Source organism: Homo sapiens, chromosome 3 (assembly GCF_000001405.40).
Source record: "Homo sapiens chromosome 3, GRCh38.p14 Primary Assembly".
Taxonomy (NCBI): Eukaryota; Metazoa; Chordata; class Mammalia; order Primates; family Hominidae; genus Homo; species Homo sapiens.
The window spans coordinates 193,408,081-193,420,269 of record NC_000003.12 but is presented as its reverse complement, the minus strand read 5'-3'; the positions used below and the strand labels follow the sequence as shown (position 1 = coordinate 193,420,269).

Genomic DNA, 12,189 nt, shown 5'->3' with positions numbered 1-12,189 from the left:
CCAATAATGACTGAGTGCCTCAGTGGCCATTTTACAGATGATGGGGAGACTTGACTGAGGGACCCTCTCGGTGTCAGGTCTGGCATGACCTATAAGCAGCTGCAGTAGTGCTGGGTTATAGCAGGGAGACCTTAGAGAGGCTGTGAAGCTAGGCTCCTAGGTTCAGGATTTTTCTCCTTGGAGAGAAGGACTGCTCTGGAGGTTTGGGACCAGGGAGCAGGGTACAGCTGCAATTCAGGAACTAGGGCTAATAGGATATAATGGCAACGAAGTTCCCTGGGAGATGAAGCACCATCCAGTGGTGACCTTGGACCCTGAGATGATGGGGCACAGTGGTATTCCATACTCTGTGAAGCTGGGGTACGGCAACAGCAAAGAACCCAAAATGGCACAGCTATCACTTGGGCCCTGGAGGGGCAGTGGGTGGGGGACAGGGAGCAGCACAGTGATGACTCCACTTACCTGGGAAGGAGGTATCTCAGCAGTTCAGACTCTAGTCCAGCTAGTCAAGCTCTAGGGAACCAGGGAACTAGAGCTATTTTTCCTGTTGGGGGAAGGGATGTCTCTGCTCAGCCAGTGCTTTTCCCTGGGATGTGGAGTACTATGTCAGCTCAGGCCTGGAATGCACAACTGCGAGCTCGGCCAAAGCATTGATTCCTTGGGAGGCAGTGCACTGCTTTAGCTCAGGCTTGGGGGTAAGTATAGGGGGTCGGGGAAGTGAGGTATGACTGCTCTTGGCCAACACACCAGTTCCTGGGAGACAGGGCACTACTTCAACTCAGGCACTGGGGAGGCATGACTACTCTGGGAAGCCAAAGTACCATTTTCCCAGAAGGCAAGACACTACACTTCAGCTCAGGCATGGGGGCAGGGGCAGCAGCAACTGGGAGGGGTAGTTGGACCACTTTGCCAAGGCATTGTTTCTTCAGGAGGCAGTGCACAGCGTCATCTCAAGCTCCAAGGGGCAGGGCACAGCAGGGACTCAGAAGGGTATATGGAGCAGCTTTACCATAGTACTCTTTTTCTTCCACTGCATTACCAGAGGCAGTGCACAGGTTCAACTCAGGTCCCTAGGGGCAGGGTGCAGCAGTGACTAAGAGGAGTAGTTGGAGCAGTTTCATCAAGGCAGTTTCTCTGGGATGCAACGTACAGCTTCCCCTCAGGCCATGCAGGGCAGGGTGCAGTGTTGACTGGGAAGGGCAAATGGAGCAGCTCTGCCAAGGCACTCATTTCCTGTGGAGGTAGTGTGTAGCTTCAGTTCAGTCCCTAGAGGACATGGTACAGTGGGAATAAGAGGGGTAAATGGAATAGCTGCATAGCAACTTGGCTCTCAAGGTAAGATGTAGCGGCAGATCAGGGATGGCAGGGCACCAGGCAGGAGTAGTCCAGCAGCCGTTAAGCCTCAAGGCTGGTAGGGGGTCATGCCACTTGCCCTCAGAGCAGGACACATTCCAGCAGTAGTTTATGTTCCAAGATGACATAGTGCAGTAGCCTTGTAGGCCACAGGGGGAAGGGCACACTGTTGGCTTCTACTCTGGGGTAGCACAGCTGTGTGGACTTCAGGCAACTCCCTCAGCTGGTTCAGTGCCTGTGAGGACTGTAGGTGTCCAGGGTGTTGATGGGGGCTGCTGGGGTCCTCTTGCTTACCTTTTCCCCACAAGGAGACATCCTCTTGGTTCTAAGCTGATCCTGGCTAGAGAGTGGGGTGTTGGATGCCAGATATTTCCTGGGATGTGGAGTACTATAATAGAAACCAGTATGTGGCCATACTGGTTTTCTGTGCTCTACAGGGTTTCTGCTACTCCTTTGATGTATTCTGACACTCTCGTTTAGTTATTTTCATCAAAATATAGTGTTGTTTTGGTTGTCTTTGTGGGAGAGATGAGTACTAAGGGCTTTTAGCTGGCCATCTTGCTGACATCCAGTTGACTTTAATTTCTTTTTTTTTTTTTTGAGATGGAGTCTCGCTGTTGCCCAGGCTGGAGTGCAGTGGCGCAATCTCGGCTCACTGCAGGCTCTGGCCCCTCGGGGTTCACGCCATTCTCCTGCCTCAGCCTCCTGAGTAGCTGGGACTACAGGTGCCCGCCACCTCGCCTGGCTAATTTTTTTTTTTTTTTTTTTTTTTTTTTTTTTTTTTTTTTTTTTTTTGAGACGGAGTCTCGCTCTGTCGCCCAGGCTGGAGTGCAGTGGCGGGATCTCGGCTCACTGCAAGCTCTGCCTCCCGGGTTCACGCCATTCTCCTGCCTCAGCCTCCCAAGTAGCTGGGACTACAGGCGCCCGCCACTACGCCCGGCTAATTTTTTGTATTTTTAGTAGAGACGGGGTTTCACCGTTTTAGCCGGGATGGTCTCGATCTCCTGACCTTGTGATCCGCCCGCCTTGGCCTCCCAAAGTGCTGGGATTACAGGCGTGAGCCACCGCGCCCGGCCGCTAATTTTTTGTATTTTTAGTAGAGACGGGGTTTCACTCTGTTAGCCAGGATGGTCTCGATCTCCTGACCTCGTGATCCACCTGCCTCGGCCTCCCGAAGTGCTGGGATTACAGGCATGAGCCACCGCGCCTGGCCAATTTCTTTTTTGTCTAATGTCTCTGGGTAGAACTCCCAGCACACTGTTGAAAGCAGTGCTGACAAGGGCATTTTTACCTTGTTCTGATCTTAAGACAAAGTTCTCAGTCTTTTACCCTTGAGTATGATGTTAGCTGTGGGTTTTTAAATTACATAAAATGTAATTATGGAGATGACATGAAACATTCTAAATTTATAACAGTGTAGTTTGAATTAACACCTTCACTTTAATAGCATGAAAACAACTGCTCCTTTGCAGCGTTATCTCCCCTTTTATATTGTTGATGTTACAAATTACATCTTTTTCCATTGTGTACTAAATAACATGGATATATAAAGTGAAATTGCAAACCAAAAATACACAAATATCAGCATTTATATTTGCTGATAGCTGATATAGTTACCTTTACTAGACATCATTATTTCTACGTAAGTGTTTGAGTAGCTATCTTGTATTCTTTCATTTCAATCTGAGCCCTTTAGCATTTCTTTTAGGGTAGGGTTACTGATAACAAACTCTTTCAGCTTCTGTTTATCTGGGATGTCTTAATTTCTCCCTCGATTTTGAAGGACAGTTTTGCCAGGTATACAATTCTTAGTCAATAGTTTTTTTCTTTTTCTTTCAGCATCTTAAATGTTATCCCTTGACTTCTGGCTTCCATGGTTTCTGATGAGAAATTGGCTGCTAATCTTACTGAAGATCCCTTATAGGTGATGTGTCACTTATCCCTCACTGCTTTCAAGATTCTTTGTCTTTGTTTTGTTTTGTTTTTTAATAGCTCAAATATGATGTCTTGATGTGAATCTCATTGGGTTTGACCTATTGTAATTACTTGTACTTCTTGGATATGCAGATTTATGCCTTTCATCAAATTTGGGAAGTTTTCTGCCATTATTTCTTATTCTTTTTGTCTCTTTCTCTTCTCTCCTTCCGATACTCCCACAACGTACATGTTGGTCTGCTTGTTTGTGTTATACATGCCCTTTAGGCTCTGTTCATTTTTGTTTATCATTTTTTTTTCTGTTCCTCAGGTTGGATATTTTCAACTATCCTACCTTCAAGTTCACTGATTCTTTCTTCTGCCTGCTCAAGTTTGCTGTTGAGCAGCAAACTGCCTGCTCAAGTCTGCTGAAGTTTGCAAGTTTGCTGTTTTCACTTAACTTACAGTACTTTTCAGCTTCAGAATTTCTTTTGACTCCTTTTTATAATTTTTATCTTTTTACTGACATTCTCATTTTGATCATACATTGTTTTCCTAATTTCCTTTAGTTCTTTGCCCGTGGTTTCCCTTAGTTATTTCAGCATATTTAAGATAGTTGTTTTAAAGTCTTTACCTAATAAGTCTAATATCTGTGCTTCCTCAGGGACAAATTCTGTCCATTTATTTTGCTCTGTTGAATATTATAATGCTCTAACTCTGAAAATTAGATTCTTCTCCTATTTTAGGGTTTGAATTTTTTGTTTCACTCTTTGTTGAAGGCTGTAATAGTCCATTTGTTTAGTGACTTTCCAAAGCTTTTTTTGGAAAGACTGTACTAGTTTTCATGTGAGATCGCATATGTCCCTGTTCCTTCAGCTTTTGTTCAGCTAATGTTTTGATAGAGATTTGCTTGACCTCTAGGAGTGAAAAAACAAACAAACAAACAAACAAAACCTTCTCCAGTCCTTACAGATTATTTCTGTGCTGGAGTACTTATTCAACACTTTGCCAGGCTTACACTGAGTCTGGAGATAATCCAGAGCTGAAGGCTTTGGGTTTTCTCTGGTCTTTACTGAGCATGTACTATGCCCTGGGATGCACATAGCTTTTGCCCTGGGCATTTACATAGCATTCTACATTTCCCAGCATACACAGATGCTTTAGACTGCCCTAATTCCTCCAAGGAAATTTCCTTAGCTTTTCTTCCAGGCTTTAGATGGTTATTTTATGTATCAACTGTAATTTTTTTGCCCTAGGCAACTGCATTTGTTAGCCTAATAATGTTTTCAAGCAATGTGCACTGCTTTTCTGCCCAGAGTGAGTTCTGTGTTAGGTGGAACAGAGATGAGTGCCTGCATCAATCCTTCAGGTAGTTCCCAGACAGGTTGGGACAGACATATGTAACAATTTGTAAATAAGGCCTGCTATGCTCCTTTTGTAACCAGGGACCAGGGTCTCCCTCTGGGAATGCAGGCTATCTTCAGGATTGTCACTAAGCTGAGTAGGGGGTGGATCAAGTGCAAGTAGAAATGCCACAAAACTTTCCTGTGATCCTAAAGTTGTCTTTTTCTTGATTCAGTGTTCACTTGGTTGCAGTATACTTTTCTGTTTTTCAGATTTTCAGATTTCTGACAGTTTCTGCTTGTATTTTGATATTTCTGTGGAGATGTGGGAACTTGGAGCTGCCTACTTCACCATTTTGCTGGATATCACCTATTATTTGTCATTAAGTGTTTTAAAGCATTGCTGTTTAGTGACTACATGTTGTTCCATTGTATAGATGTACCATAACTTATTGTAAATGATGCCATAATGAATATTTTTTCACATCTCTGATTAACTTTTTTAGCTTAGGATAAATTTCCAAAAGTAGAATAACTATGTCGAAAGTTATGAACATTTTTCAGTCTCTTCACATTTATTGCCAAATTGCCCTGCAGAAGGTTTGCATCAATTTATTTTCCCACAAGCAATATATGAGAGAGTATATTTCATCCCTCCCTTCTCTGTAATTTAATAGTTTTTCCCTATTTATAAGGCCAAAAGTGACATCTTGTGGCTTTGTCTGCTCTTTTAAGAATTCTTTACATGACTTGAATTTGAGTCCATTAATTGTTTTATTCCCTCAGTTTGTGATGTACTCCAGTTTGTCCATTTCCTCAAATGTATGGGCCAATGAACTTATGCCATTCTTCTGATCAAGAATACATTTTCCTGCTCTCATAAATATAAAATTCGAATTTATTTTATAGTGAATCTGAATGGTGCCTACCCTAAGCTGGTGCCTTTCAGACCTGCAGGACGGCTGATCTCTCCACCTCTGCTACTCTCTGTGATTTTCAACATTCTTCTCAGCCTGGCCATGCATATTGCAGGCTTCATCCTGGTTCAGAGGCAGCCTTGGTATTCCGTGGAGATACACAGGTATGAGTATAGTCTCAGCTTCTGCTTCTCACATTCTAATTTCTATCAAACATCCTCTGGCCAATATGATGGGAGGCACATGGGTCTTCATTCTGCCAAAGGTTTTGGCTTTTTAAAGTCCCTTGGGCAAATTTTCAGTGATTATTTCTTCTCTGTAGCATGATTTAATGCTAATGAATGTATCATTCATTCATTAGCACTTATCTTTGTCTGTCTTATATGATAATGATCTATGACCATCTTTGATATCTAGGGTGACCATGGATTATAATTTGCCTGAGCAGCCCCAGTTTAAGTAGCCCACTTTAAATTAAGTGATGTCCCAGTGAAATTATTAACATCTTTCCTTTTCACCTTCAAAACTATCTTTGTTAGTTAAGTTATATATTCAACTCACTTACAAATTATCAGAGATTTGTTGTTGTTGTTTATCGGGGGAACCTGCCCCCAATATTTCAACATAGGTTCTAATTTCCCTAAGTGTCTGCTGGCTGAGAAATAAAGAGAAAGAGTACAAAGAGAGGAATTTTGCAGTTGGGCCTCCGTGGTGACATCACATATCGGTAGGACCGTGATGCCCATCTGAGCTGCAAAAACAGCAGGTTTTTATTAAGGACTCCAAAAGGGGAGGGGGTGTATGAACAGGGAGTAGGTCACAAAGATCACATGCTTCTGAGGCCAATAAAGATCACAAGGCAAAGGGCAAAGCAAAGATCACAAGGCAAAGGGTGAAATCAAAAGCTCCTGATAAAGGTCTATGTTCAGCTGTGCATATATTGTCTTGATAAACATCTTAAGCAACAGAAAACAGGGTTCAAGAGCAGAGAACCAGTCTGACCTCAAATTCACCAGGGTGGGGTTTTTTCCCCCATCCTAATAAGCCTGAGGGTACTGCAGGAGATCAGGGTGTATTTCAGTCCTTATCTCAACCACATAAGACAGACACTCCCAGAGCGGCCATTTATTGACCTCCCTCCAGGAATGCATTCCTTCCCCCCAGGATATTAACTATTAATATTCCTTGCTAGGAAAAGAATTCAACGGTCTCTTCCCTACTTGCATGTCCATTTATAGGCTCTCTGCAAGAAGAAAAATATGGCTCTATTCTGCCTGACCCTGTAGGCAGTCAGCCCTTATGGTTGTCTTCCCTTGTTCCCTAAAATTGCTGTTATTCTGTTCTTTTTCAAGGTGCACTGATTTCATATTGTTCAAACACACATGTTTTACAATCAATTTGTACAATAGTGGTCCTGAGGTGACGTACATTCTCAGCTTACGAAGATAACAGGATTAAGAGACTAAAGTAAGACAGGCATAAGAAATTATAAGAGTATTATTTGGGAACTGATAAATGTCCATGAAATTTTCACAGTTTATGTTCAGATATTGCAGTAAAGACAGGCATAGGAAATTATAAAAGTATTAATTTTGGGAACTGATAAATGTCCATATTAAAATGAAATCTTCACAATTTATGTTCCTCTGCCAGAGCTCCAGCCAGTCCCTCTGTTCAAAGTCCCTGACTTCCTGCAACAGTTGTCGTTGTTGCTGTTATAGAGATGGAGTCTCTCTCTGTTGCCCAGGGTGGAGTGCAGTGGTGTGTTCTAGGCTCACTGCAACCTCTGCCTTTGGATTCAAGCAATTATCCTGCCTCAGCCTCCCCAGTAGCTGAGATTATAGGCACATGCTGCCATGTGCAGCTAATTTTTTTGTATTTTTAGTAGAGATGGTGTTTCACCATGTGGGCCAGGCTGGTCTCAAACTTCTGGCCTCAAGTGAACCACCTCGGCCTCCTAGGGATTACAGGTGTAAGCCACCACACTTGGCCAAATTATCAGAGATATTAAGCCACTTGAGGGAGGAATCATGATTTACCAATCTCTTTCCCATATAGCCTTAATGAATGTGCATAATTTGTTGAATACATAATTGGCTGAATCTCTCTCTCTGTCTCTCTCTCTCTCTCTCAATGTATCCAAAATACGGGTCTATCTGTGCTTGTTGATTTTTTCCCCTATTTTTCAGTGTGTGTGTGTGTGTGTGTGTGTGTGTGTGTGTGTGTGTGTGTGTGTTTTCCAAAGCACAGGCAATTGTAGAAGCATTGAGTGCCTGCTCTGGACACTGTTTGGTATGGAATCTTCTGGATACAAATGCTCCATAAAGCCTTGCAATCTTACTTCATTAGCTTCTTTGGTTTTCCCTTTTAGTGCCTGCACAGTACAAAATGAAAGCATCTCAGAGTTAACCATGTCTCCAACTGCTCCAGAAAAAATGGAAAGTAATAGCACCTTCACAAGTTTTGAGAACACTACAGTCTGGTTCTTGGGAACAATCAACTGTATCACTGTGGCTCTTGTGTTCTCTAAAGGAAAACCATTTAGACAGCCAACTTATACAAACTGTGAGTAGAACTGTACTGCATCAGAGGTGAGAAGTCATCAGAGAGGGGAACAGACATGTCCAGGTCACTTAGGGAACAGCTTTAGAGTTGATTCTTATCTAGCATCTCTTGACTTCCACTCTAGGACTCTGCAAAACACATCGTACAGCCTCATTTTCACGGTTCTTTGCTCTTTCCTTCAAAGCTACATTAAATACTAGGGCTTCTTTCTCCCTTTCCTTCGCCAGAAGTTTGCCTCTGGGTGTCTTTCTTGGGATCACTCCAAATTGAAAAGACCAATTTATTTCTCTACTTGTCAGTACTTGTCAGAATTCACCCTGGAAACAGTGGAGAGAAGCGTAACAGAACTCAAGTGGATCCTGTCTCTTGCCATGAAGGCAATAGTCAGGGTGGCATTGTGTGGTGGCAGGCTGCTAGTGGGTCCAGCCTGGAGGAACCTGACTAGAGAGGGTTATGGAGGCTCTCGGCCAGAGTACCTCCCTCCTACTTCCTTACATTCTGGAGTAGGAAGGTATGTTTGGATGAGAAATGAGTGACCTGTTTAATCTTCAAGACATTTATTTGTATATCATCACTACTCTTCTTATTGAAAAAATTCAAAGCCCAAATTGAGTTCCTTTATGAATATTTTCATAAAAATTTATTTGTTCAGAGAAAATTATTTAGCTTTTCTTCTTCCTGGGATGAGGAAGCAGCTAAATACTGACCTCTATATGATAACAATTTAAAAATTGGTTTATTGACAGGCTTCCTTTTTACCAGAAAATGATTTGAGGTAGATAATTTGCATTAAAGTGACTCAGATACTTGGATGTCTTCAAGGCATTTATTGAACATGTATTTTGTCAATGTTACCCTATGTATATCTACTACTTTTATTAATTGAAACTTAAAATGTGCATGTGAAAATTTTCACTTGCTTCAAGGACATGCATAGAAATTAAAGAGGTGAGACCCATTGCTTAGAAATGAATACTTTCCATCTAGTATTTGGATGTAGAAATCAAGTAAATTAAATCAGTGTTAATCTAGAATACATCCGTCAATATATGTGACATTTTTCACTCTGATTTCTCAAAATAATACCTTGTGTTCTTATTTCCTCAGATATATTTGTCCTTGTGCTGATAATACAGCTTGGTGTATGTCTATTCATTCTATTTGCTGATATACCAGAATTATATAGACGTTTGGATGTAAGTCTAATCTTTGGGATATGATGATGCTTTACAGTTATGTAACAGTTTAACTTTAAAAAGCAGATCACAATTTCAATTGACATGATTTTTGACACAAATTATTCTTTTGGGATGGCAGAGCTAAAAAAAATGCTAAATTTATCTATATTTTTTATTTAAACTGGTCAAGAAATAAAATTCTACCCAGTTTTGATTTCATGAGATTAAAGACAGCCTTTAAGTATTGAATACTTTAATTTTGTTTTCTTCTTATTATTTAAGAGACAGGATCTCACTTTGTTGCCCAGTCTGGAGTGCCATGGTGCAATCGTAGTTCACTATAGCCTCAAATTTCTGAGCTCAAGCAATTCTCCCACTTCAGCCTCCCGAGTAGCTAGGACTGCAGAAGTGTGCCATGATGCCCAGCTAATTTTTTAAAAAAAAATTTTTGTAGAGATGAGGGCTTGCTATGTTGCCCAGGCTGGTCTCAAACTCCTGGCCTCAAGCTAGCCTCCTGCCTTGGCCTCCCAACGCGCTAGGCTTACAGGCTTAAGCCACTGCATCTAACCAAATATTTTTATTTTAAAAGATCTCCTATGAGAAAATGTTTTTCTATATTTTCTCTTTCAAATATGAGAGAATTTTTTCCTAATTGCTTCTTTTTTTGAAGTTGTTTAAAACTGTTTTGCCTATAGCTTTTTTTTTGGTTATCATATATTTATGTATTTTTTTACGGCTTTAAAAATGTTTTCTGTGTGTTCATACTTAATGTCTGTAAAACTCACTTTCCAAGAGCCATATTTTTCCTCATAAACTCTCTTATATTTTATAATATTGATACAGCTGTAAAAACCTACAAGATACCAAAAGTTTACATATCCAAGCCAGGGAAAAACATATTTTGATCCCCTTAACCTATCCTACTTTTATTACAATTTAATCACGGCTAAATGATCTTTAGATCAAGAAATGCAATATTGAAGAGATGACTAAAGAAACAGCTCTTTTAATTGAGTGCTTTGTATATCTGGTTGCCTCTCCATCTCAAAGATGAGTCTCATGAGGTCCAACAGTGTATCTTATTCATTCTTGTATTACCAGTGCCTTCCACAAAGAATGTCAAAAAATGACAAAGGAATGACTGACTGATCATTGCGTATCAGACTCCTAAATATAAACAAGCACTTAGAGCATACAGTGCATTCCCAACCAGCAACACCTGCACAAACCCACAGTGACATTTGGCATACTAACTAATATCTTTAGTTTGACATACTAATATGTTTAGCATGAGTCTTCTTATTTTTGTAACTACATCACTGTGGTTAGCAGTGTAATTACCACTGTTGTTAAGTGCCTTCGTGAATTAAATTAAGTATTCATGGAAATAAGTAGGCTTTGCCCACTGGTCTTCTAAGTCAGTTAAAACTTCTTAATCCTACAGAAGTTAAGGATGAGATGTGGTGAGTTGAATGTCACTTTTTAATAGAAGAAGATTCTTACAGAAAGGCTGGGTCCTCTGGTATAACAAAATAGGGAACATATTTAATTTGGAGAGAACCTGGGTAGGGTCATTGCCAGCATGACTGCAAAGGATTCTGCAAAGAATTATTGTTCACTTTTAAAACAATTATTTTTCTTATTATTACATAAAAATATGTGTTCTTTTTAGAAAATGTAGAATGTGCGGGCAAGGAAAATTATAACATTATTCACTATATTCTTCCTTCTTTTACAATTCATATACTATAAATGTGTTGATTAATTTTTAGTTTTTTTTAAAAGGATGGAATCATGTTGTTTTGCAACCTAGAAACTGCTTACTTAAAAATTTATAAATTATTTTAATGGGGAACACATTCATTTGGTTCACAATTCAAATGTTTAAAAAGCCATATAGTGACAATCCCCATCCCATCTTAGATTCCCCGTTACCAGTTCCTCTCCCTGGAGGTAACCAATGACACTAGTTTATTTTACATACTTTGGGACATATTTTGTATATTCTTCTTCCACATTTTTACATAAACAGTAGAAAACTATTATATTTGTTCAGGTCTTCTGAGATGTAGATGACAAGTTGAGTTTAGTTATGCAAGAGATTTGCTGGAGGAAATTCTCGGGGTAGGGGTAAGGGAATAGAAAGCCAGAGGAAGTGGGGAGAGGCATCACACTGTGATGTGGGTTTATCCTCTAAAACGAAGGGAGGGAAGAAGGAGGGCTAGATGTGTAGCATCTCAGACTGCAGTACACTTCTAAGAAAGTCAGGCCAAAGTTGCCCATCAGGAGTTTCTACGTCTCGTAGGAATGAGTCTGATGAGAATCCGTGGTGTCCTCATTTCTTGGCTATGTGCAGCTTATGACTTTAGATATGCTTTACAGTGGATGTGGTGGTGGATTCTGAGCATAACAGTTGGGGTATCCACCATTTATCCTCCCAGCAGCAGAAGATCTGAGTGGAAAATTTTCATGGCTGCTACAACACATACATTGTCCTGCACCTTGCTTCTTTCATATAACAGCATTAATTGTTCCATATCAGTACATACATTTTCCTCATTCTTTTTAATGCTAATATAATATTTTATGTAAATGCATATTATGTATATGTCATATGTATACCATGCTTTATATGTAGTCCCATATTGATAGACATTTAAGATGTTTCCAAGTTTTTATTACAAACAAAGCTGCAATAAAAATATTGTGCATATATCATTTTAGCCATGTACAAGTATATTTCTCAGATAAATTCCTAGAAGTGGATTTGAATTTTTAACTTTGAGAACACTGTCCTCTATGGAACTGTTTCAGTTTTTACTCCCACTAACGTATGAGGCAATGCATAAGTCAGTGCCAGATACAATGGGATGCCCTTGGCACTTTTTCATTCATTAATTCACCCATTGATTCACTCAT

At 40.4% G+C, this 12,189-nt stretch overlaps 1 protein-coding gene across 2 annotated transcripts in view; it reads left to right on the top strand.

The window, feature by feature from the left end:
- Positions 1–12,189, top strand: part of ATP13A4 (ATPase 13A4) — a 194,153-nt gene that overhangs the window by 172,850 nt on the left and 9,114 nt on the right. For both annotated transcript variants that reach the window (XM_047449063.1, NM_032279.4), the window contains 3 exons: positions 5,520–5,691; positions 7,899–8,092; positions 9,200–9,288. In XM_047449063.1, coding sequence (XP_047305019.1) covers positions 5,520–5,691; positions 7,899–8,092; positions 9,200–9,288 — 455 coding nt within the window. The remainder of the gene's footprint in view (positions 1–5,519; positions 5,692–7,898; positions 8,093–9,199; positions 9,289–12,189) is intronic.